The sequence below is a fragment of the Homo sapiens genome, chromosome 2 (genome assembly GCF_000001405.40).
Source record: "Homo sapiens chromosome 2, GRCh38.p14 Primary Assembly".
NCBI lineage: Eukaryota > Metazoa > Chordata > Mammalia > Primates > Hominidae > Homo > Homo sapiens.
In genome coordinates, this window is record NC_000002.12 from 136824098 (window position 1) to 136852045 (window position 27948).

Consider the following 27948-nt stretch of genomic DNA (forward strand, 5'->3'; position numbering starts at 1 on the left):
TATAAAAAAGAAACTTTTCCAAAGGTACAAAGGCAGTACATAGTGTAGCCAAGATTTGAATGTAGATAGTTGCTTTAGACCAATGCTTTGTCACTTCTCTGCTTTTAAAAACATTTTCTAAATATTGTTTTTGATATGTATACTCATTCATTACATATATACAAGTATATATTATTATATAAAGAACTGTTTAGTACTTTGTACTAAGTGCTTATATATAAGTACATATATATGTACTTTGTACTGAGCAGATATATATATATAAGCTCCCTTTGATTATTTAATATTATCTGAGATTAAGGTCTTTTTTTTCTAATATGTTAGCTAGGAAGCTCAGTTTTGGATGCATCTAATATATAAACCCCAAAGTTATCTTTTTAAAGGGCTGTTCCTGGAATGTTGACAAATCATTTTGTGTGGCTGAGCTTCAGTATTTTGAGTGTACCAAATATAATCAGTGTTTGACTGATTAAATATGTTACTTGCGAAATATTTTATTAGGTTTGCAAACTCTAACACATGGCCTGCTGTCCTGTTTCTGATAGCTAAGGGTGGATGTGGAAACTTTTAATACATGGAGTGTCTTCTCTTTGCTGATAGATGTTTCTGTAAAAAATGGATAAGGTGATGAGATCAGAATCAACTGTGTTTCTTATGCAGAACTAGTGCTCGAGATGCATGCTAACTCCCTAGCTATGCATCTTATTAACTTGCCTAGCAGTTGGAGGTCTGCATACTGACTTTGAGAATATTTCATTACTGTATTTTTCTAAGGGAGGCTTTACATTTGCCGAAGAACTGACAAGATATGTGTCTCTATAACTCAACTTGTTTTGTATTATGATCAATATGAAAGATTGCCTCTGATTACCTGGGGATGCCATGAAACTGTTAAGATATATTAGGTTTCTGGTTTATTTTCTAATTGACTCCTGTCAAATATAGTAAAAGGAGGTACATTGAAGAAAATTTTAGAATGTGATTTCTTTTTACTATTTTCCTTTAAGAATCTTTGTTCAATATTTGTCTTTTAATGTTTGCAACAATTTAAGAGAACAATGAAAAGAAAATTATCCTATTTTACAGTTGACAAAATAGAAAGGGAAACAAGGTAGTCTTTTACTGCTGCTTTAACAAATTACCACACATTTAATGGTAATTTAATGGTAATTAAAACAAATTTATTATCTTATAGGTCTGGAGATTAGAAGTCCAGCATGGGTCTCACTCACTGCACCAAAATCAAGGTATTGAGAGGACACCTGTGTTCCTTTCTGGAGCTTTCAAGAAGCTCTGAAAGCTGTACTGATTACCCTTTTCATATTCTAGGGACAGCTTGCGTTCCTTGGCTTATGGTCCCTTCCTCCACCTTCAAAGCCTGCAGCAACAGTCCAGTCCCTCCTATACTTCCAGTTTTTCTTCTTTTCTCTCATCTTTTTAACCTAGCCAGGAGAGATTCCTCTCTTTCTTTTTTTTAGACAGAGTCTTGCTCTGTCGCCCAGGCTGGAGTGCAGTGGCGCGATCTTGGCTCACTGCAACCACCTCCTGGGTTCACGCCATTCTCCTGCCTCAGCCTCCCGAGTAGCTGGGACTACAGGTGCTCACTGCCATGCCTGGCTAATTTTTTTTTTTTTTTTAGATCTGGGGTTTCACCATGTTGGCCAGACTGGTCTCAAACTCCTGACCTCAAATGATCCACCCACCTTGGCTTCCCAAAGTGCTGGGATTACAGGTGTGAGCATTCACGTCTGGCTAGATTCTTCTCTTTTAAGTACACATATGACTAGATTGGGCCCACCTTAATGATTATTAAATGAAAATAATCTCTCCATCTCCAAGTCCTTTTGCTTCGCAGCACCTGCAGTGTCCTTTTTGCAATGCAAGATAACATATTCACAGGCCCTGGGGATTCGGATGTAGGCATCTTATGGGAGGGGCATTATTCTGCTTATCACAGATTCCCCAATGTCGTGACAGATTGAAAAAGGACTCATTATACATAAATTAGTTTCATCCTTTTAGTTATGAAATTATATACTCTGAAGTGGACCTTCCAAAATATAAAATAGTTATAATGATTGAATTGGACTCTAATGACATAAATTTCAGGAAATGGCAGATATGAAATAAGGAGTCTCTGTTTAATAAGAAGCCAGGTTCCCAGGATTAGCATTGAGAGGATTTATTATCATTTGCAGTTTTTATCTGTTTTGTACATTTGCACAAAATAAACTGTAAGCAAATAAACTGTAAGCACCTTGAAGGAGGTAAATCGGATTCATCCTCTTTTCCCTGAAGGGTGCTGCTCCGTGCTGAGCCTCTGATTTCTTGTTCATTTGTTGATTGTTGTTACAGAGCTCTTTGATTACTAAGTAACTGCAAGAGGACTGGCCCAAGGAACACTGGGAAAAGGATCAGACTGGGTTTTCCGGCTTCAGGCTCTTTCTTCTCTCTTCTTCTCCAAGTCACATTGTCCCATCTCTCCTCCTCTGGAAGGCATGGGGAGCCTTTTGTCCTAGCAAGAGCTAAAGTTAGATTCTTCATTCATGATGCCTGGCAAAATGTGCTTTTTTTGCATTCTAATAATCATTAAAACCACCAAAAAGAGAGGCGATGAATTTCAGACGCAGTAAGAAAATAAAAGGAATTTCTTCACAATAAGAGCTTCCTTGTCGTCCCCAAATCACACTCTGCTACTCTTCCCAACACTAGAAGATGTCTCCATCTCTATGTGACCAGTGATGGAGAAGGAGTGATCTGACATGGTTTAGCAATAGCATTGAGCATAATAATCTCTATGTCTGTGTAGACTTAGTGATTAGCTGGTTAATTTATATACTTACATCTCCATCTCTTTGAGACAGAGTTTCTGACTTCTCTTACCTAACAGTACAGTGCTGATAAATAGAAACCTAGGATTAGAAAACCAGAACAAACACAGGAAAAGAAAATATGCCACAGATTAACATAGTTACTATAGTTTCTGTGATTAGTGGTCAGATTTGACCTGATGGTAACCATAGCAAAAAGACAATCATGAAAATTATTGGTTTCTCTGGCAGTGTTAGGTCAGCTCCAGACTCTTGCAGGATTTCTGACCCAATTTTTCTGCGGATCTTTCATTGACTTGGAGTACATAGCATAATATAGAGTACATGCAATATCCACAATACTTAGAAAACTCACATTTTTGGTATTCTGGTGTCCAGACCTATTTGGACCAGCATCTGAAAAGATGAATAGCTGGTCCTGAGCTGTTAGGATATACAGAAAACAAGAAGTTTGTATGGTCTTAAGCATCAAGGAGAAAGAAATTTAAGTTTAGTTCTCTAGGCCAGGGCAACAATTCATCTATACACCAGAGGATGAAAGCAGTGTCTTATTTGAGGAAAGAATAACCCAGTGTCTCTCAGATGGCCTGCCTCTGCTGCCACAGTGTTGCTGCAGTTTAGTGAAGGTTGAAAATGGGGTGATGAGGGGCAGAAAGAACCTCCCAGCTTCAGGCTCTGGATTGAAAACCAAGGCAGAAGCTCTTCAGTGGTTTGGGTGTGTCTTCCTGGTCCACTTTCTTTAGAGGAAGATACAGGTAAATTTCTTGAGTTAATGCTTACAAAGATGTAACCATTGGTTATCAGTAGAAAGGTATGAGATATTTAGAGAGTTACACTGAAATGAGAGAGAGAGAGAGAGAGAGAGATTGAGAGAGACACAGAGAGAGAAATATTAAGGAGAATAAAAGAAGCAACATATTTTGTGCTTTGAACCATTTCAGACTATAAAAATTGAATTTAGCCCATTTCTTACCTATTTGCTCATTCAGGGATAATTTCTAATAAGTGATTTGAAGAGTGTGTGTGTGTGTGCCTGTGTATGTCTTGTTTGTGTCTGTTATATCAGCATGGGATATAACCTATGGGCTCCTGTGTTGATAACATAGGAGCCATGAAGATGCTGACAGGTGAGTGAAGATTGGGGTATACTTTACTCTTAATTTTTGTTCTCCAGCCCTCATTCCACTCTTATCTGCCACCTGACCCCACATGCCACCTGAAATTACTGTCTTGAATAATCTTCATGTTTCTAAACTCAAAAGCCCCATCTTAACCTCTCTAGAGCATTTCATCATCCTCTCTTTCTCTGGGTAGCCTTTTCTATGTTTCTTTCTCAGTTAATGGCACTATCATTCCTTCTGTTATACAAATCAGAAACCCAGGAACTATCATTGACAACTGTCTCTTTCCTACACCCATATCCGTTACATCAGCAAATTTGGTCATCTTGACTCTCTCCCTCCCCACAGCCACCATCCTAGTCAAACATGTCATCATTTCTTACCTGGTCTGTGAAGTAGTTTCTTAAATATCTCCCCATATCTGCTCCTGTCTTTCTCTATTCTCTTCCCCACACAGTTACCAGATATGTACATCTGGCAATATTATTGTTTCAAAATGAAAATTGCTACCATGGCCTACAAGGACCTGTATGCCTGGTCTTGCTTTCCTCTTAAGCATCATCTTGTGCTCCGTGCTTTTTGCATTCTTGACACATGTTCTTCTTTCAGTTCCTCAGGCCTGCTAAGCACATAATTGCCACAGGGCCTTTGCACATGCTATACTCAGACTGCAATATTCTTGCCTCGTTTGTTTCACCTGGCTAGTGCTGTTTTGTTTTTAGATTTTAGTATGAGGGTCACTTCTTCATAGAAGCTCCCTCTGAGCTTTCTTACTAGGTTCTTTTCTCCTTTTATCTCTCACATAGCAACATGGTCTTCTCCTGTCAATGCCTGTCTTCTGCTAAACTGTAAGCTTCATGAGAAGAAGAATTATGTTTGTTTTTGCACCTGACACAGAGCATGCACTCAGTAACTAATTGCTGAATTAGCAAAATCCTATTTCTTCTATGAACTCTTTGTTAGTTATTTACATCTGCATGGAACTGTCCCTTTCCAAGGCCACTCTATTACGTATGAGTCTTCCTTTGTTCTCTTTCTTACTGTATTTTTGAGTTTTCTTCTAACTACATGGTAAGTTCTGTAAGGACAGATTGTAATTTCTGTGAGGAGAAGGAGCATATCTAATTCTTAAAAAAAAAAAAGTCCTCCAGAGTGCCCAGAATGCTTTTGAGCACATAGTAGGTTTTGAACCACGACTTGAAGATCAGTGTACCTTTGTTCCTATATATGTGGAAGTTCAGCCACAGTGTTTTGCACATAGCATCTCTTTTCTTGGCTTTCTCCTTCAACCACCTCAGATATGGGACAGGTTGGGGATAGATGAGAGGTGGGAGTAGAACCATTGATTTGCATCCTCTTCTCTGTGGGAGCTTTCTGGAACCTTGGAGAGGACAGGCTTAAACTCTTCACCTTTCAGATTAGGAAACTGAGCCCCAGATGGGAGAAACTCTTGCACTGCATGGGGCAGGTGTGCAGTAAATTGTACCAGGCTGAGTAACTAATTAGAAGAAAATCTGTGGTCATAACTTGGGTCCCCTGACTCCAGGCCCATTGTTCTTTGCTAGGTTGTCTCATTTAAATTTGGAGAAGAAAGATTAAGCACTCATTAATAAGATGAGGAGCACATACTGGGAATCAAAATTAATAGGGACAGGGAAAGCCATGAAGATCCTGAGGGAAAATATGGGTCTGTGGGTGAAGCCAGGAAGAGCAGGCATGGGTTATATATTTGGCTAAAACCATTATCTAGAATTTATTTTTCTTTGAAGCATATACATTCCATCTATTTTCCTTCTGTCTTACTACTTTAATCTTCATTTATAGAATAATTATACATTAAAACATGCCTTTACAAATATCCTTTCCCTCTTGCCTCTTTTTATCTTTTTTATATTTTTATTATACAAGCTCTAAGTTGTGGCCCCACTGGGTATTATAGTCTGTAACTGCGAATGGTAGTGTGTGTGGCTTAGTTTATGTTCAGACACAAATCTAGTTGTGTTGTTTTCCCAGCCCGTCTATGCCTTTCCTTTTCCTAGGTACCAGATGTCATTTTCTTTGTATGCCTGTGCGCGCACACACACACACACACACATACCTGAGTGTGCATAAACAAAGATTAAATTGAAGTGAAATACTGTGACATATGGTACCTGAAAAATCAGAGTCTCAGTAGCAGATCCGTAATCAAGGGTGCAGATGTTTGGCATTTGACAAATGAAATTTTTTATGTAAAACTGTTTTAGTACATTAAGTCAAAAGATGGAAAATTAGCTGCATACCATAATGAACATTTTCTTCCATTGAAAAGGAATAAAATGAGAAAATTAACCAAACAAATAAGTTAGGCCCCCAGTGATCCTATGTTTTTCCAAGTACTCAGATTTCATTTTTATTGCCTCTTGGGGGTTCTTTTCTTCTGCCTTCATTATTCAGTTTACTACACAGATAGTGTGTTAAGGTGTTCTAAGTTTCATTAACCTTAAAGTATTTGGAAATAGATTTTCATGGGGATACTGTAATGTTTTCTTTCTCCAATGCTGAATTTTATTGTAAATGTATTTTCTTCTTCTCTCTATCCTTTCAGACTTTTGTTTCCCATTTTATCTTAGTTTCTAAAACATCTTGTCTCTTCTAAACACCTTTACTTAGCTATTTCAAATGGGTATCAGCCTATTTTTCAAATGTTTCATTGTCTGTATCATTGTCATTAAATTCAGTTCCATATACAATTTGGCATTTAGTTATGCCCTGTCGAAATTGCTTTTTGCTTAGTGCGTGCTATTATTTTACTCCACCTTGATTGTAAATTCCTTAAAATTAGGAGTTTGATCTTGGGATAAGTGATCCATAAATCCCCCTTGATTCCTTTTGGACTGTTTTTAGAAAAGGAAGCAGTCATACTGCTTAGCAGAAAATGACATATGTGGATCAATTATAAATACATAAAATGATAATCAACTAGTAATTGCTATCAATAAACTGATTTGGCATTTCTTCTCAATCTTTTGGAACTATGCCACCTGTTTCCTAGTTTGCCTTCTTTGTTTGGTGGTCTGGAGTTCTCGGCCTGTAGAATCTTTTTTTTTTTTTTTTTAGCCATATTCAATTTTCCAATGGGATTTTCATCCTCTTTTCATCAGAAACAACTCAAAATTATATTTCCTAACAGTATTTTTACATTAAAGACAAATATGGATCTCAGTTAAAGATTAAAAATAACATACATATTTAGTACTTAATATTTGTATAATATTCTCCTTCATCTCTTTATTTGACCCATATAACCTAATCCTAGGCAGGCATTTATATTTTGGTTTATGAATGAGAAAACAGGATAAATGATCAGGCAAAGCCCATATAGCTGTTGAATAGCAGAGCTTGAGTTCCAACCTAATCATCTGGCTTCAGATTTTTGGGCCTCCCAGAGGCATTGTGTCTTTGGTAGAATAGCTAACCTTTAAGTACACACTATTGTGTTTGATGCACTGTGTAAAGAGGTATTCTCCAAAATGCACAACAAGGCCATTTCTCTATGGCAAAGACATAACTGTTACAATGTTTTGCCTAGTGACATAGACTTGTGCAAAAAGACATGGACATCACCTGTTGGTGGATGTGCCAAAGGCTGGTGTCCCAAAAGAGAAATGCCCAGTGTTAGAGTTGAATGGTTTTAGATGCTTTCGAAAGAAACTTAAGGCCCTACCAAATATCATCCTTTGAGGATATACTCCTTGGTCTTGGCAAATGAGCCTAGGTATACAATCTTCCTTTTCTTTCCTAGCCCACTTATATAAGGCTTATCCTTCCTTTAAGCCCAGCGCAGTCCTTCTGTATGGGCCTTTTCTATGTTGCTCAGGATACTGAGATATCTTGCTTTTAGGAAACTCCTGTAATAATTGTCCTGCTCATTTGGCACCTAGCAAATGTATTAGCTTAATTTCATTATAAATGTTTTGCTTCCTCAACTGAATTTAAAGGCTGTTGAGGCTGGAACCATGCTTGTGCATTTTGTATTAGCAATTTGACCATAGTACCTTATACCCAGTAGGCTATAATAAGTACTGGTTGAGATGGTTATTAGGGTTTTCCAGAAAGAACAGAATCAATAGGATATACATCCTATTGTGTGTGTGTGTGTGTGTGTGTGTGTATACACACACACATATATACAATTGTGTGAGATACATATATCTCACACAGTTATGGAGGATGAGAAGTCCCATGATATGCCATCTGCAAGCTGGAGAGCTGGAAAAGCTGGTGGTGTAGTTCCAACTGAGTTTGAAGGCCTGAGAACCAGGGGGGTGGATGGTTTAAGTCTCAGTCTGAGGACAGGAGAAGACTGATGTCCCAGCTTATGCATTCAGTCAGAAGGGACAAATTCCTTCTTCTGCCTTTTCTTCTATTCAAGACCTAATGGTTAGGTTGATGCCCACCCACATTGCAGAAGCCTATCTACTTTACTAAATTCACTGATGTAAATGCTAATTTTATCCAGACACACTCAGAAATCATGTCTACACTGGGCACCCAATCTCCCAGTGAAATTGACACATAAAATTAATCATCACAACATGGAGCTGTCCCCAGTGGTCCTCATCACTTTGCCACTGGCTATCCCAGTCTCCAGTCATTAATACAACTTAAAAGAATACAGAGATCATTTGTTTTGCATATAGCATATAACAAGAACTATGCTGGTCCAGATGGTATCAATATCCCCATTTTATAGTTAAGACACTGAATCTCAAAGTAACTTGCCTGAAGTTACCAAGTAGGTGGCCGACTTGGGATGCATTCTTTCTTCTACCACTCTTGAAGCCTGGCCAGTATTCATCCTCTAGTTATACTTTATCTCACTCTTACGTTTGCTTTACACCTGAGAATATTGGTAGCTAGACAACAATTTGTGGATTTTCCTGATGAAACCATCACTCTTCTACTGATCTCTTAATAGACTTTATTTGTGTTGGGTGATTATCATATTGGTAGAAATTCATACTCTAATAAGTTTAAAAGGAGAGGGGAATTGGCTGGGTGTGGTGGCTCACGTCTGTAATGCCAGCACTTTGGGAGGCCGAGGTGGGCGGATCACGAGGTCAGGAGATCAAGACCATCCTGGATAACATGGTGAAACCCCGTCTCTACTAAAAATACCAAAAATTAGCTGGGCATGGTGGCGGGTGCCTGTAGTCCCAGCTACTCGGGAGGCTGAGGCAGGAGAATGGTGTTAACCTGGGAGGTGGAGCTCGCAGGAGCTGAGATAGTGCCACTGCAGTCTGGCCTCGGCGAAAGAGCGAGACTCCGTCTCAAAAAAAAAAAAAAAAAAAAAAAGAGAGAGAGAGAGGGCAATTATATGCATAGATCTTGATTATTTTCTATTTTTTTTTTTTTTGCAATTAACTGTTTGGTACTTTTAATGACCAATCTCTTTCCTTTTTAGATTTAAGGCAATAATTAGAGCTAATCTCTGCTGGGCGAACTATGAAGGGTCAAGTGTGGGTCATATAATTCAAAGAGGTTTGTAATGAATATAGTTAGAAATATCCTACTTTGTGATTTTACTTTTGTGTATTCAAAGTCACATTTCTGACAACTACTGATTTGGAGCCTAGTTTATAGAAGGGGGTGTTTTTCACTCAGGCAAAGTGCAAAAGGTCAAGTAGAATAATTTAGACCATCATTAAGCGTCTTTCTTTCTCATATGTCATAGGTCTCCTTGCTCAGCCTTTGATGAGGGGAAGAAGATGAAAAAGGTTTGATCCAATGAGGGAAGTTTTTTGAGATGTGGATAATCACTTCATAAAAATTGTAAAATTCACTAATTAATAAAAATATTCACTAAAAGTTTCACTCATCTAAAATGCATGGCATGGCCTCCAAATCCCCATAGATTTTTTTTGAGATTAATTCCTGGAATTTTAGAGTTTAATAGTTTAGCCAGAACTCTTATCAGAACCTTTTCCTGCTAGAGAAGTTGTTCCCGTGACTAATATGTAGCTAGTACACAGCAGTATGATGATATATCATGTCAAAATATTGAAATATTTCCATGTTGTTTGGTAAATGACACTGCCCTGACTTGCTGAAACTTCTCACAATCCAAGAGCTAAAAGGTTAATGTCTAGTACACTAGAGGCCAGAGAGGACCCAGCCCCTGGTCAGCATCTATCCTGTTGGTGGTGAAGTGTTTTAAATATCACCGTTGGTTGTTCTTGCACAGTCTTTCTGCCATAGAACACACTCACAGCCACAGTGGCTATGGTCCTTTGCTGCTCTTTGTCAACCTGAGAGTTGACTTTTGAATGCTGACAGACGTTGCTGTAATAGAAAATTAGTGGTAGAGTCTTCTCAGTTGTAGATACAATGCCTTAAAAATATGCCATATATCTAGGTAAAAGTGAATGGACAAATCTAAGTTTTGCTTCCTTATTTTGTTACTACTGTTGTTTCCCAAGGAAAGCCATGTAGGTTGACTGTGACCCTGTGACATATTTGTGGAGTTCTCAGCATCTCGGTGTCAGAGTTTTATGCTGGAAATGTCTAGGACTAGGGGTATAGTGTTAGTATCTGTGATTGTAGATGGAAATACATTCTATAAATTGTGAAATGCTTTGACTCCAGGATTTTTTAAAAGAAGATGATTTTATGAGGTTAATGATACAACTCCAATAGTAGTAATTGCAGTAGAGCACAACAGTTAGCACTGTTTGGACAGCTGCTACTTACCACTCAGTTTTATATGGACAATTGACCTCTAGAAAATACCAAATAGATACTAATAAATCTACTAATAAATCTATGTTATCTTCTGTATTTTAGGTAACAATAGAATGGTTTAAATAATTAATGAAATAAGGTTGGATGTAAATGTTCAAATGTCCCCATTGTCTTTTTTTCCCTCATAAAACCAGTGAGAGAGGTCCTACTGTGTATTTTACAAAGACGAATTGGCTTGATAGCAGCCATATTATTTTGAATAGTGGAGCCAAAGCTGAGACTTAGATTTGCCTCCAGAGCCAACACGCAACTCTGATCACACCTACTCTGATACTGGGGCATCTTCTAATTATCAGGACTCTATTTCTATACAAAGCTTAATATTTTAAGTAACGGACTTTTAAAGTTACAGAAAACTGACAGGTCATACAACAAAACATAACAAGAACACCTCTTTAAATTGAAAAAAGAAGACTAAATTTGTTGTGTTTTCATACCATAAAGTGAGTGAAAAGTAGGATGATATTTGAGCTCTTTAATTGAGTCCAGGTGTAACTCTCTCATGACTGCTAAGCCATTTTTTCTTAGTTATTGAAATAAGGTTATTAACATTAGCTTGCCTCATAGGAGATGTTATGGAGTGTTGACAAACTTTTAAATTAGCAATATTGATGATGCAAAGTATCATGATATAGAATGTGAATTCATTATATTTTTTAGTTGTGAGGAGGCTCTGATTGTAACATCTTTTGCCTCATGCATGTCAGGAGTAGATTAGACTCTTCAGCAAGCTGACTTTTATACCCATACTCCCTCTACACTCTGTGGGAAACCTTTTGAATTATATATTTCGTCTTTGCGGGGAGTAACCCTTTGTTTTAGCATCTTCATTCTATGTTGTAAAGAATACCTAAAATAACTCTTGTACTTCAGTTTCCTCACAAAGTGGAGAAATGAAAGATTAATATATATTAGTCCTTTCTGAAAATATGCCATACTTCCTGAATTCCATGGCCCAAGAAGAGAAACTGGTACACATTTGAGTTGTTAGATAAAGGACTGAATCTATCCCTGATAATGATGAAAGAACACAGGGGTTTGAGTTGCATAAAGACAGAGAAAATGACTGAGAATTAATGTCTGTTTATTTTTGCTTTCGGGGAAGAAATTAAACTAGTCTCATCAAAGTTATTTAGGAAGTTTGCGACTACTCTTTAATCTTTGTTTCCGAAAACAGCAGACTGCATTATTAGAAAGGAGATCATTGCGTGTGGGAAGAACATGCAGCTGTTGTCTGTTTTCAAATATGAAATTAAAGAATTTGAAGTTAATTTCAGAGCTAAAGAAAACTGCTAGTCAAAACAGTGTAAGCCATTTTGGAAATATTATTGTATTATTTAACACATATTTATTCAAAAAGTGTGTATGTGAGCTGCAATGCAAACGTCTTATGGATGTAATCGCACATGAAAATGTCACTAATGCTGAGCTCCAACTACAAATTGAACAACTGGACCTGAGGGTGTTAATTTGGTCTCTTTGTTTCAGATGGTCCATACTCAGCTGTTTCCATACTTGAGAAGAGAGAGCCTTTTTTCATCTTCACTGTCAGGAGGTCCATATGCATGCAGTATTTTAATTTCATATTGTCTAGTCCTGTGGCTAGCAGGGATGAGATTTATTAGTGTGTGTACATTCACTTTTTGTATATATTGTATTAATTGGTAAAGCCACCTTGCGACCTAACATCCTCCTAGGGAGCTTAGCACCTCACTGGCTGTCCTTTCTCCATCACCTTTCTAGATCCCCATGCTATGTTGACCTTTGAGTTTTAGAGTGCTCCAGGGCTCAATTCTTGGACTACTCCACTTATCTAACTATATCACCTCTTAGGTGATTTCTTCCAGTCCTATGGCTGTAAATGCCATCTACATGCTAAAGATGTTTATATTTTTCTTTCTAGTCTCAGTAACTCCTGAGCTTCAGGCTTTTGTGTCTGCCATCTAGTGTATATCTCTCCTTGGATGTCTAAAGTCATCTCAAAACTAACACACCTAAAATGATGGGTATTAATTTCTGTTGCTCACACCCCTCCATGATCTAGCTCCTCTCTTGTCTTCCCCATCTTCCCCATCTTTACCCAGTTGCCAGGCCAAAAACCTGAGAATTATTCTTGAACTTTCTCATTCATTTCATATTCAACCCATTAGCAAGTCCTGTCAGCTATACTTTCAAAATATATTCCACATATATCTCCAGATTAATCCCAGCAGGTCACTGCTATCTTCCTAGGTTGGATTGGCTTCATCTTTCCCAAAGATCTCTCTGTGTCCACTCTTAACCTGGCGGGTCTGTATTCGATCCTCTATATTCATCATGAATCATCAAAAATATAAAGCTCTTCTTGTCATCCCCTGTCTTCCAAGGGCTTTTCTTCCTACTTGGAATTAAATCTCAAGTCCTTACTATGGCCTGTAAGATCTGCCAGGGTCTGGCCATTGCCTGTGGCTCTTTATTTATTTTCTACCACTCTCCTTCTGCACTTACCTCATTCACTCTGCTCTAGCCATAGCCTCCCTTCTGGCCAACTAACTTTCCATCTCAGGGCCTCTGTTCCCTCTGCTTATAATTCTCCTCACCCAGATACATGCATGACATATTCCCCCTCCTCATTCACAAATCTGTGCTCTTCCTCCAGATAGCTGCAAGGCTTCCTTCCTCATGTCATTCAGAGTGACTGCTCTGTCTAAAATAGCAACTCTGCCACTCTCTATTCCTGCTTAATATTTTATAGCACTTCTCATTACCTGAAGTAATATTGGTTATTTCACTTGTTTATTCATTGTCTGTCTCCTTGGCAAGTGTGGAAGCTCCATTTGGACGTGGCATTGTGTGTGTTATTCATCACTGTCTCTAGAAACAGCATCTAGAATATGGTGATGAATGAATGACTCAATGATGGAATTACATTCATCTTTTTTTCCTTGATATCCTTACCCATCCTCTAATTTTCATCTTTGATGGTTTAAGTCATTTCTTTATATATCCTCCTACCTTGCAATTAATATTCAACAATATCCTGGTCCTTTTAGAATGGAGGAGCATCTCATTTAAGAGGCAGTCAAAATGCATAATGGGTTCAGGCATAGGACCTGGAAAGAGACAGACCTGAGTTACATTCTGGCTGTCTAGTTACTAACTTTGTGATTTTTGGACAATTTGCTTCATTCTCTTGACCTCATTTTCCTATGCTATTATCACACCTGTATGTTTTTTATAAAGCATAAGTAAAATCATACATGTAGAGCTCTTGGTTTAGAATTAATGCTCAAGTATGATACCTGTTATTATTGCCTTTGATCCTAAAGAGTTGTGTAAACTAATTTTTTGTGATTAAATCATCGATTAACAAGTGACCACATTTGTTTTTTTTGTTTGATGCTCTGGATGTGATCCCTGCTTTTCTTAAGATCTGCTTCCTTGGATTGGGATTATAAATTGGGTATAGAGGGAAGGAGGAGGGGAGAGTTTGCTTGGCTATTCTTAAATGAGATGAGTCATATTTTGGGCTTAGGGATACTAAGGGCAGAGTTCCCCTTTCATCATTTAAATATGTAGTAAGGTCAATATTTAAACCACTCCAAATGAAGCTGTATAATAAAAGTAGCTTCTGTAGTTTCTATAACTGATTTCATCTTAATTGCAAGCCTCACTCTACTGGGTACTAGAGCTTGGGGGAACATAACCTTTCAAATTAAGGGTATGCCAGTCTTTCTTGGTTAAACAAGTTATATTTTGGTCATTTAATTTTTCGCTTTTACATATTCAGCTTTTCTATGTTCCTCTGCCTTCCCCATCCTCCCTTTCAAAATGAGGTTATTGAGTTAAGAGGAACCTATGGGGCTGACACACTGACTTCTGGGTCTTTCTTGGCATCTGACTGGGGGTGGCCATTTTGATCTGACCCTGAGGGTCTGGCACTGTACTTGCAGAGGTGTTCAGACCTGATTTGCATGTGCTTTGGGTACCATACTGGCACTCAATGATAAAATATGTTTTTTCCCCAAGTATAAAATCATCATTTCCTGCCTGAAGTCTCTACTTGTGCAGCTGCCTTGCTCTGTGAGCATGGGTTTCCTTAGTTTTCTTCATTCTCTCAGCTCCTGGAAAGCCGTGGATGGTGAAGGAGGATATTAGGACCTCTCAGGTGCTTTAGCTTCACCATGCTGGACATTTATAGTTCAAGTGAGAGAATGCTTTAGTCCACTAACCTAGAAATGTTTGTAATTTATGTATAAACTACCCTTGAGACACTGTCATGTTGTTCTCATGCCATATAGGACAAAGGAATTGACAAGGGAGCTTGCAGATTTTCCTAGACTATGCTTTGAGGAGCAAAGATCAAGCATGCCTCACACTAGAGTTTCCTCATACACTTGAGGGTATGCACCACACCTACCTCCTTTCTACTGCCTGAGGGTCACCCCTGGCTGGGAATATACTCCTTCTAACTCATGTTTCTCCCTTTCTGTCTCCAGCCTCTGCTAATGAGAAATGGAAGAACTGTTTTTCCTGTCTGGTAGGAACTTCTTATCCTCCATCCTCAATACACTATGGCTTATAGTAAAACTCTGTGATCAGAGTTCAACATGGTTAGTTTTGATATAGAAATAGGGAATTTGTAGTAATAATAATAAAATCTCAGAATCTTTTTCTTTAGCTACAAATTCTGACCTTTAATATTATTGTTTCACTATATACTCATTAATTTTAGTCTTTGAGACTCAGAGTCTGGCATTGACCTTCTTCCTTTAGGCAGAGCCCCTCCTCTCCATCCTAGGAGACACTTGACCTGCACAATGGAGGGTATAAAGGGAAAAAACTTTCAAAAAAATGATCAATGCCTCTCTTTAACCTATTGATCACATTATTGTCTTGACATGTTTTATTTTTTCTTCTTCCTTTTTTTTCTGCTGGTTTGGTGCTGCCTGATGGTCATTTAGATCTTGTTGTTTATGTTGGTCTTGCTAATTCATGATTTTTTAAATCAAAGAAATTAGTCATAGACAAAGGCATGTACTTAAGTTGAGTCAATGAGCTTCAAAATGGTATCTTTTACACACAATTTCAAGTTTATGCATTCAGTAAGCATTTATTGAGTACCAGCTATATGCCTGACATTGTATCATTGTCTGGGGATATTAAGTTGGAATGACATGGATTTTTGCCTTAAAACCCAGTTTAGTAAAGGAAATAGATAGAAAAATAAGTACAAGGCAGATTGATAGCATATAACTGAGTATGCAAAAGAGTATCAAAAAAGAGGCTGAGCGTGGTGGCTCACACCTGTAATCCCAGCACTTTGGGAGGCTGAGGCGGGCAGATCACCTGAGGTTAGGAATTTGAGACCAGCCTGGCCAACATGGTGAAATCCTGTGTCTACTAAAAATACAAAAATTAGCCAGGAGTGGTGGTGCATGCCTGTAGTCCCAGCTACTCAGGAGGCTGAGGCAGGAGAATCACTTGAACCCTGGAGGTGGAGGTTGCAGTGAGCTGAGATTGCGCCATTGCACTCCAGCCTGGGTGACAAGAGCAAAACTCTGTCTCAAAAATAAATAAATAAAAAAGAATATTGAGAAAGAAATCGCCAGTTCTCTTGGGTAGTTGCAGAGCATGTCAGGGTTCCCACTGAGTTGGAAGTTGGAGAACAGCTTGCTAGGCAGGCAGAAGAGGAGCAGCACAAGCAAAGGCATTGAAGCAAACCTGGTGTGTTATCTAAAATCACCTCTGTGTTTGGGGCATTGGAAGTTCGAAGGATTGGCAGAATATAAGACTGTCAAAGTAAACAGGTCCAGATCAACAAAGGCTTTGAATGTCTTGATAAAGAGCTTGAACTTTATCCTAAAGATGGGGGTCACTGGAGAATTTGAAACACAGGAGGGGTATGATCCAAGTTATATTCCAGGGAACTTGCTCTGGATGGTATATGGAGAAGTGATTGGAAGGGAATAAGCCTGCTGGAAACCCAATGGAAAAAGATGATAGGGGAAAAAGAAAAATTAAGTCAAGGGGCATGCAGTAAGTAGAGTGACAGAACAAGAAATTAGGGCTGTGGGAAATGAGGGGGAAAATATGGAATGATTCCAGATTTTTTGGTTTGATTGGATAGTTGGTGGTGCTACCAAAGGAGAGGGAATATATTTAATATCAAGAAGAGCTTCCTATACTATCATCAGTGAGGCTAGCATTTATTGTTCACTTGCTGTGTGCTGAGTCCTTTGTATTCATTACTCCTAGGCAATTCTTCTAACAGCCCTATGAGGTAAGAATTTCAAACCCCATTTTACATACCAGTAACTGGAACTCCAAGGGGATATAGATACCTTGGCCAAAGTTTTACAGTGGGAAATATCAGAACTAAGACTTGAACCCATCTGTCTGACTCCGTAGTGTGCTTAAAAATATATTTTACTTGTTTACACTTAATGTTTAATATATTCAGTTTTAAAGGTAATGCACATTTGTTATGGAAATGAAAAAAGACCGGGCGCAGTGGCTCATGACGGTAATCCCAGCACTTTGGGAGGCTGAGGCAGGCGGATCACAATGTCAAGAGATTGAGACCATCCTGGCCAACATGGTGAAACTCCATCTCCACTAAAAATACAAAAAAAAATAGCTGGACATGGTGGTGTGCACCTACAGTCCCAGCTACTCGGGAGGGTGAGGCAGGAGAGTCACTTGAACCTGGGAGGTGGAGGTTGCAGTGAGCCGAGATTGCGCCACTGCACTCCAGCCTGGTGACAGAGCAAGACTCCATCAAAAAAAAAAAAAAAAAAAGAGGAAAAGAAAAAGAAATGATAAAAATACCTAAAAGCAGGAATAGGAGAAATTATTGTTCAGCGTATTATAACACAAAAAGCTGATTCTTGGCTTTATTTTGCTGGGTGAACTTCCTGGTGGGGATGCAGGAGTTTGAGACACCTACAAGAATACACAGCTGGGTGTATCTTCTAGATGGTTGCTTACGAATCTGGATCTCAGACTAGCAGTCAGAGCTAGAGACACATATTTGGGAAAAGTCAGTAGATGGGTGGTAGGTAAATTGTAAAATTAAAGAAAAGAAAACCAAACTTTTCTTAATTATTGCAGCTGTATGTATCCTGACCTTCTGCAAAGAAAATAAAAATATGCTTATTTTTTCTGAAGAAATGAAGGGATCAGTTCATGCAAGCAGATGTGTATGGAATGTCATACCTACTATCATGATAGCAAACTTTGTCTCCATGACACTCTGAGGCAGCTACGTCTGTGGAAGCATGAATTTGTCAAATGAAAGGATTTAAGGACAACTGTTTTTAAAGAACATCTTGCACTCTTGCATTATCACTTCCTTTTTCATCTGAATGATTTCTGTGTTCTTGGGAAAATACTAGCATTTCTCATTGTTAACTTGGAAAAAAAGAACTGCGCTGGGTTATTTTATAGGTGTCAAAAGCTACACAGGAAGTAGAGAAGCCAAAGAAGTACTAACAGTGTGAAACAGTTTGTGTTCTTTGTTCCTTGTCCAAAAATAATTGATTCATTAATCTCAGCTATATCAATCTGGCCCCATTATGAGGGTCAAAGACAGGTTAATTCTAATAAGTTGATGAGTATCAGTTCACAGATAAGGCATGCATTTAACAGATATTATCTTAGCAAGAAAGCAATAATTAGAAAAGTTATTCAGTGAGGTGATTTCAGGGAAAACAGGATAATAAAACCCCTAGTTTCTATCTCAGGGTTATTAGGAGAATAAAAACTGAGCTATGTTCCTAAAATTGACATTTGGAAGTAAAGCACAAGGTAAACTTGTCTCCTCTTTGAGAAGAACCTTTTTTTGAAAATAATAAAACACTTTCACTAAGGGAGCAATAATTTCACCCAAATCACAGAACAGTTGGGGTGAAGAATTATGGGAATTCAACCTTAGGTTGCTTTGGCTTTGATTCCTGAACCCATTACTTCATTATCTGACTTTGAGCAAATAACTTAATCTTTATAGATCTCTGTTTCTTTCTCTATGAAGTGGGATGAGAATCTATTTCTCAGATTTGTTTTAGGAATTGAACAAGAATATGCAGGTGAAAACATGAAGCACAGTCTTTCATGTACTTTAATTGTTCAATAAATGTTCTTTCCTTGCCCCTTCTGAATAATGTACTCTAATCAGGTACTGACTGGCATGGTCTCCCTTTCCAGAAGAATGTTATTGTAATTTTGAATTTGAGCAAAATAACCAAAATAACTGTTCACTCGTATCGAGTGGTTTCATTTTTTTTTTTTTTTTTTGCTTCCTTCCTTTGCTTCCAAATACGGCATTGCTTTTTCTTTCGTGAAACTTAACAGATTTAAGAGCACTGTTTATACTTCTATTGTCGAGGGTAATCATTCATTGGAAGTAAGGCAATGTCCCATTGTTACAGTTATTGGTGTCTATTGGGAGAAAAGTTAGAATTTTATTAAGTCTGTTCAAACATTACATTTCTTACACTTCCCAAGAGGCATCCTGGCTTATGTAAATTTCTCTCTGATGATACTTATATTAACATGCTTATCCCTCATAATGGAATCGTATTCGTGAATGTCCATTGTTCTTTTCTCCTGCATCATAACCATCACCACATGCATAGGGAAGCCATTAAAATGGAGAAAAAAATATTACATAAAACTTTTTTACCATTCAAGAGAAGAGTACAGGAATGAGAATCTAGTTTATGTCTTGTACTTTCTTAGGGGTGGAATCTGATAAATAAGACAGAGATATTGCCACACTCCGATGGAAGAGACAGGCATGTGTAGAACCAACAGTGAGCTCAGTGTGGTACTGGTGGCTTGCATCTACTTTTACTGATATCTACAGCTGATCCATGTGCAGTCACTTGTTACCTGATTTGCAGGTAAATGGTACATATTTTAGTTAGGATGTTTCTCTGTACTGAGTAGGCAAAGAAGGGTCCCAAATATAGTGCCCTGACAGTTTTGGGGTGGCTGCTTCTCTGATGTGTTGTCATATGGTGGGGTTCTGGGGGTACTCCTTGTTCTCCTAGGAACACAGAATCCTTTGAACACTATGGATTTATTCCAGTTTACATAATTCCATGATCCAACAGTTATTCACTGTACCCAGCTCTGGGGGCAGTGTATACCATCACACTTAAGAATCATCCACAGGGATTTCAAACTATACTCTGAGAGGCCAGAGGCCTCTCTCAGACTGAAAGCAATGTTCTTCCAACCCCCTTTAGGCAGAGCTTTGTGATTTTGATCTTTTTCAGATGTTGGGCCTGTACATGTGGTTTTGATTCTGATAAAGTTTTATTAGTCGGGATCCAGTCAGGTATACCAAAATTATTCTAGAGACCTAAATAGAGAGAATTTAACACAGGGGTTAACGTAGGTGTTGGAAGAGTGGAGAAGCCAATCAGTGGACAATGTGGTAACTATGAGGCAACAGCTGAAAGCTACCAGCATTCCTAAATCCAGAGGAACAAGGGAGGGAGAAGTGTTGCAAAAGCTTAGGAACTGGGGCCACTTGGTGGAAGCTGGAATTACAGCTGTCCTGCATATTGGATGCTGCATCTGTATCTACCTAGGGCAAGATTTTTCAGCAAAAGCTGGCACCAAGGAGGAGAGGCCACCCAAAACAGAGAGAGAGAGAGAGAGAGAGAGAGAGAGAGACAGAGAGATCGGTTTTCTGGTTTCTCCTTTTCTTTTGTTCTCCAACCTCCTTTCATTGTCTCCTGATGACCAAGCCTAGCAAGGGAATTGGAAACTCATGAAAGGTAATTTGGAGAAGGGCTAAGATTGGATCTGAGCACACATAGGTGATGACTATTGAGGCAGACGTGGAGATGGAGATGAGCTCTCCTTCAGGAAGGAAGCAGCAGTGTGGTTAGACAGCCTCCAACTGTCAGCTCTTTCAATCTGTCTTAGCTACAGAGAGCTTGCTTGCCTGAGGTCATGCCCAGTTCAGGGCAGCCCACAGCTGGAGAGGTAGGAGAACATGTAAAGGCCTAGCCATCAGAGTGCAAGGTGGTATAGCTCTTAATAAGCAATATTCTCTCCAAAGCTCTAAGCTAGGTTTGCCAACACTTTAACAAGCCTGAATTGCACTTCACTTTCTTTTTCTGCTCACTTCACCCTTCTTCCTTTCATATGTGTTGATACCTAGTAAATGTCTTGTGCTCCAAACGCCATTTGCATCTGCTTCTAGATAACTGGAAGTTGGAGAGAGACTTATTAACTCAAACCTTGGACATGATCCAGGGCAGAGGGAGAAAAGAACATGCTTTGGATCTGGGAGGGCCAACAGGATTGTAATTCTCTAGAGATGTTGTGAAGCCTCAGAAAAGGGAGAGACTGTTGTGCATTGGAGCATCTGGGCACATTCCTATGGAGGAGGTGAAAGGATTGGAAGATATGAATAGCGTAGCGGTAAAGGGAGGCTTCTGGAAGACATGAAGAGCTCAATCAAAGGGTAACAGTGGGCATTATTATGCTTAGTGCAAAAGGCAGTGCAAGAATTTAGGACCTGGCCTTGATACTAAATTCTGCTTCAGGGAAGGATGAGAAGCCGTGATAAGCAAAAGAAGTTTTTCTTTTTAACTTTGCAGCATCTGGGGAAACATATTTCACAGTGTGGCAGAAAGAGGTGTGCAGATTTTAAATAAGCTTTCTAACAAGATTTTGTACCCTGGTTTGTTTATGTATTTATTTTGCCCCATAAAACATTTAATCATAAGAGCATAACTGAGGCAGGTACAAGTCATTGTTTAAATATAAATTCTTTTCATTTTGGGGGTTTCATATGAGAAAGGAAGAACATCAGAAAGGCACTGTTATGTAAGCAATTACAGGCTGGAATGTTGTGCTAACCTATTATGAACTTTGGTTTAGGAGAGGAGTGGCGGTAGTATACTAAGGCAAGATGTGCTTGTTTGTTTCTTCTAGATTAGATTTAAGTAGTCTGTAAGCATGAACTTGAAGAGAGAGGTTATTCCTCATTCCTCATCACAACTTATTCCTGAACATTTGGAAACTGAAATTAGAAGTTTCCACTGATTTCTTGAGATATGATATAGCTCCCACAGTATGTTGTTTATACAAAAGGGGTATTGGGATCATTCCCGTGACTGGCCATGGTGTGGATGGACTGATGAGGGGCTCTGGTGAGCACAGGGGGTAGTCGGTCATCTTCCTGTCACTGTCCCTCATCTTGGCTGAGGGATGACTCCTTAGACTTCCCAAGACGAGCAAGGGATTTTCTATTTGTATTAATGATGGATGCTTAACCCCAGGGGTTGAATCAAGGGTGGGGTGTGGAGTCTTCCAGATAAAATGAGGTCTTTGTTGCATTTTCCATGGCAACATCCACAGCAATTTGGCTTGAGAGTTTGGGGTTCCTGAGTCACTGCCTCTTCTGTCTCCTTGGTTATCACACTCATACCCTGGGTTATCGTACCCTGGGTTGGGTAACTAAGGAGACACCAGGTACTGAGCAGATGTCTTGAAGCCACTCTTAAGATTACCTTTCATGCTTAGTGTTGTGTGGGAAAGGAGTCATAACTAGGAAATGTGATCATTTTGTTCATTAAAGAAATGAAAACACTTTCTGCTACAGTAATTTGATAATAAAATTTATATATTATGAGAAGCAGGAGCAACACCCCAGTACCTGCCTGATTTTCTTTAGGTATGAAGCTAATACTAAATAATTAACATAAGAATCGTTTATGGATGCCCTAATTTTATTGAAAAGCACTCTGTGATTCCATTTTAACCTTACTTAGTAATTCATACAGAGTGCAGGCAACATGGGCATTATTATAATTATACATTGAAAATTGCCCTACTAGGATATAACTTTTTTACTTGTATAATGTAGAATTCAGCAGGAATATGACCAGAGCTTGGTAGGTGCAGAAGAAAATCACCCACTGAAGCACTGTATGGGTTTTACGATACACAGATTTCCATATTACCTTTAGGACAGCATTAGGATTTACTAGCAACTCTATTTCCTAGGACTCTATTGATATGCAATAAATATCAATAATAAAAATAGTGATGAAAAGTTGAGACTTCATCTTTTATATATTCTCCTGGGTCTGTGTGTAATCATATGGGTTATTTAGAGTTTATGTAAAGCTTAGTTCTGGCCACAGGAGAAACATTTGAAAAATCTTTCATTGAATATAATTTTTCTATTTTTTTTCCAATCTAGAAGACTTTTACAGCTGAATTAAAGGTGGGAATGAAGATGCCTTGTGAACACATCTTCATTTGGATGGAAATAGTAAATGGAATTGCTTTGATTTGGAATAAACGTCCGGAAAGGAAGCCTTCTACCCCACTTAGAGAGGACTCTGTTACTGGCCGAGGGGCCAGTATTGCTAATAAAGTCAGGGAGAAGTGGGAATAAATGCAGAATGAGAAAATCAGATTTGGTCAATAGGATCTCAGAGTGGTGGACTTTCCATGATGGAAGTGAATATGCATTAAGGATTACTTGATTTTAGTTTTATCTAGAACACTCTGGAAAGCAGTTCTTAGAATCGGGAATCCTCTTTCTATTTGGATAGGATTACAGGCTCAGAGGGGAAAGGATATTTTGGAAAGTTTGGGGGTGATTTCTGTCTCATGGAGCAAAGATTATGGGTATTCCTGGGAGGGGCCCCATGGCTTTCTGATAAAGTCCTTAGTGCCCAGTTTAGAAAAAGCTGACTATATATCTGGATTTTTTCATAGACAGAATCTATTTCTTTTAAGATACTTCTTTGTGGCAACCTTGGATAAGAGTTGTATGACTGCATATGATTGCTGGCTGATTCTCTATAGGGACACAGAATCCCTTTGCTTGACAGGGTCTTTCTGTCAGCGCCCACCAAGGCAGTCTACCTACATCCCACCCTTCAAAAGCAGGTCAAAAAGCATGTAAGCAGAACTTTGTCTTTTGAGATTCTTGCCTTTAATGTTTACCTTACACATTGGCAGGATACTTTCTCTACTTCAGGCTTCTATTTAGTTTGAATGAATATATCAGAAGCACAGGGTGTGGAATTCTAAAACCATGCAGCCCAGCTTAGCCTTATTCCTCCCTTCTTATGAGAAAACATTTGCCAAGATTCCAGTGTGCATTTAAAGGTTCCCCTCACACCATACTGGGTTGTCTCTCACTGTGGGGGTGGAAGGGACTTAAAAGATCATCATATGGAATCTGCTATCTGTTTTGAAGCACTTTCTGCAAATACAGAGACCATTATTTGTAGCATCAAAGATGTAAGAGATCTTAGAGGTCTTCTAATCCAGGTTTCTCATACAGTGCACAATTCCTGTACAACATTGTACAGTGCTTCTCTGTCAAATGTGGTCAGAGCACTACAGATAACACTGTGCTAGTCTCCTCAAGATTTGGAAGCTGTGAATTTACTATTAGGCGGCCCAGTGCATCTTAAAACTCTAGCATGCATCAGAATCACCTGGAAGGCTTGTGAAACATTGTTGGGCTTCATTCTTGGGGTTTGGGAATTAGTAGGGCTGGGATCTGGCCCTATAATTTGCATTTCTAACAAGTTTCCAGGTGCTGTTGATGCTGCAGGTCCAGAGACCACATTCTGACAGCCAGTGATATAACATACAGTTTTGGAGATTTGAAAACTAGCAAAAGAACATAGGATAAAAAGACAGATGCTAAATTAAGTGTGTAATATAAATTCTAATAATTTTTCAAGAAATAGCTCTAATTTGAAAATCATAATTTTAGATTTTATTATGATTTCCTGAATATATTTGTGAGGGGCAATGAAGACTTAAAACCTAAGTATTTATTGTATCTTTTAATCCAATTTTTGCCTAGAAGTAAATCTGTCAATCATTTTGAGAAAGCTCTAGGGGTTTTTAGTTATGCAAAGTTTTATTGAGAATGAAATGTTCTTATTCTCTTGAAAGTTTGTTTAGAGACATGTTAAATTGAACAAGACTTTTGGTGTTTTAAAAATTCATAATTAATTTCTCACTCTGTGATCACAAATTCCCAATTTCTTTTCCTCTTTTACTCCCTTCTCTCTCAGTTTTTAGACAATAATAATTTTGACAGCAACAATAGCAGCTACTGTTTATTGAATGTCTTTTTGAGCCTAGCACTTTATGGCATCTCTGAGTATTCTAATAACCCTGCAAGTTAAATTTTTTAATTCCCATTTCCAAGATGAGGAGGTTGATACTGAGAAATGTCACCTGACTTATTCAAATACATATGCAATCTGATATCTTACATTGTAAAGACTTGCATTTTCTTTATTGTAAAACACATCCCCTTACCACCACTGATACATCTGGTTTCTGATGCATTTTGTCTTTGCTTACATCAATGTTGTTTGAAGGAAGTTTAAGAGACTAACATGTTGAGTGCCTAGTAGGTGCCATAGCTTTTATATGTTGTTTCGTTTATTGCTCACTATACTCTGCCAGTAAAGTAATGCTAAACTCATTTTGAGAATGAGAATTCTGAAGCATTGAGAAGATTAAAGGACTTACTAAATAACTTGGGAAGGAGTATTTGAACGCTAGTCTTTTTGCCATCTAAACCTGTACTCTGTCCAAGGCACCATGTTGCTTCTCTAAGCTTTGAGATGGCCTGATCTTAAATGCTATTAAAGTTGCTAATTGTGCCTAACTATGGCCAGACTTACTGATGGGCAGAACAGAAAATCTTCTTGCTAGAGAGATTTGAGGGGAACAGGGATGTCCTGTCCCCATCCTAGCTCCTAGTGAAACATGCAGGGGGTGGGGAGTCTGATATATATCCATTAGTGCATTATAGCAGTAAATATAGCCTTGATCTCTCTGGTTGTCTTCTGCAAATATGTCCACCCCTGGGAGGGCTAATGCACTCAAATAGCCTTCCAGATTGCATTTCATTCTCTAGAGAAATAACCTGAATAATATTTAGAAAAATTGTTTAGATATTTTTGTTACAGAATATTAGAGACATACAGAAAGGTAAAACAAACAATATAACACCTAGGCATAAACCACCTAGCTTTATCAAATCTTAATAGTTTTTTTATATTTGCTTCAAAAGGTTTTTTAATATCCTACCATTACTTTTACATTGGAAGTCATTTATGTTTTTGCCCTAAAACTGTTCCCTTCCACCTCTGCTGAGTTAAGCAGTATCCTTTATTTGGTGTTTATAATAACTCTAATATATATTTTAATTCTATCACTGCATATATATGCTTTTATAAAATATATTTTTTGACATTTTTAAACATACCTCTATGGTATGAAGCCATAAAGTATGGTTTCATACTTTATGTATCATTCTGCAATTTGCTTCTTCACTTAATCTTATGTGTTTTGAGATTTATCTATGTCAATAAATACAATGTTAGTTTATCAATTTTTACAACTGTATAATGCTGCATTGTATGAGTACATTAAAATTATTTATCCATTCTTTTCTGAATGGTTTTTTAGGTCATTTCAATATTATGCCATGGAAAACAGTGAAACAGTGAACATTTTTGTATATTTTTCTCTTTGAGCACATTGGAAAGACCTCTCTAATATTGCCTAAAAGAAAAGTAAAGCAAATGATATAAAACAAGTGTAATTTCAGGGATAAAGAAAATATACATCTTCAAACTTCCCTCAGTGATGTCAATTTTTAAAAAGGGTTGTTCTGGTGACTCTACCATTAGCAGCTTGTAAGAGTTTCTTGTTGCAAGACTTCTAAATGGCAGGCATTTTAAACTTTTTTTCAGGCTGAAAGTGTAAAAAAAAAATGTGAGTATGGCTTTAATTTTAATTTCCCTAATTACTAATGATATGGGACTTTTTTTCCATTTGTTGCTTGGCAATGAATACAGGATAGTTTCTACCTATTTTTAAGCAAAAATAATTATTTTATAGCTAATATTTAATTATAGTTTTAATTTAATAATGTAGTTTCATGAATATTTTGTGCTCACTATTGCTTATGTCCTACATTTTCCCTTTATTTTTACTTCTCTTCTTTTGGAAGTATATCCTTTAATAATTTTTAAAAGCCCTAGTGTTTATATGTCTTAAACTATCATTATTTTGAACTCAGCCAGGAGTGATAATTTAGCTGGTTATAAAATGAGAGATTTAAATTTATTTTTCTTCAGCTATTGGAAGATATTGCTGCACGATTTTTTGTTGCTGATGAATACTCTGCCATCAGAGTAATTTTTCTATTATTCTGGTCATCTCACTTTTCTTTCTGAAAATTTTGTCTTTCAAAAATATATTGGTGTGTTCTTCAGTTTTTCTGTATATCTAAATATGAATTTATCTTTAATGATCTTGCTTGATACCTAACATATTCTTTTCATTTGAGGATTCGTATATTTCCTAAATTATGGCGAAGTCTCATCTCTTATTTCTATAATTATCTTTTTATACCATTCTTTTATTCTCATCTGCTATAAGTATTCTTGTCCACCATTTCTTTATTCTTTCTTTCTGCTATCATTTGCATGGTATATAGCTCTTCATTCCACTCCCCATGTCTCTTAACAGCAGCACCTTGCCATTATTTTTTGCTTTTTGTCTTTGTATCCTGGATTCTGTGTAAATTCTCCAGTAATACTTTCTGATTTATTTAAAGTTTTCTTTGACTACTTTTAGGCTAACATTTATGTCATTGTATTGTTAGGTCTTGTTGCAAATGAAATTGCTATCCAAATAGTAGCTTAAAACTATTTTTTATTATTGTTTACATGTCAGTGGGTCAGCTGGAAATTAGCTGATCTGGGCTGCACTCAACTGGGGTGACTTTGTTCTATTTGCCTCTACTGTTTTTTGAACCGGGGCCTAGAGAGGGATGTTTTTCTCATGATGGCTTTGGAGATATAAGATGGCAAATAGAAATACTTGAAGTCTCTTAAGGCCTAGTCTTGTATCGTTACAGCCTTTTTCTACAGGACAAAGTAATTCATATTGGCTAAGCTCCAAATCAAGGGATGTGGAAATATCCTCAAAGGATGTGGAAATATCCTGCCATTGTGGGAGGAATTTCAAAATCAGTGACAAAGGATCTAACCACAGGGAAAGATGAAGAATTGAGGCCAATAATTCAATACACAACTATATATATATATATATTTGTAGTAACAGAATAAGGGCCCCAAAAAGACACTCATATCTTATTCCCTGTTGATAAGTTATATGGCAAAAGAGACTTTGAAGATTTAATTAAG

General features: G+C 37.8%; 1 protein-coding gene across 1 annotated transcript in view, besides 1 other annotated feature; it reads left to right on the forward strand.

Annotated features, from left to right (window-relative positions):
* Positions 1-27948, forward strand: part of THSD7B (thrombospondin type 1 domain containing 7B) — a 912174-nt gene that overhangs the window by 58553 nt on the left and 825673 nt on the right. The window lies entirely within an intron of this gene.
* Positions 24047-24282: a silencer, noted in NCBI's record as "fragment chr2:137605714-137605949 (GRCh37/hg19 assembly coordinates)". NCBI's record gives its function as "represses an EF-1alpha promoter that drives an FKBP-Casp9 reporter gene in an ReSE screen in phorbol 12-myristate 13-acetate-treated (for megakaryocytic differentiation) K562 erythroleukemia cells {active_cell/tissue: K562(+PMA)}" and the evidence as "EXISTENCE:reporter gene assay evidence [ECO:0000049][PMID:32094911]".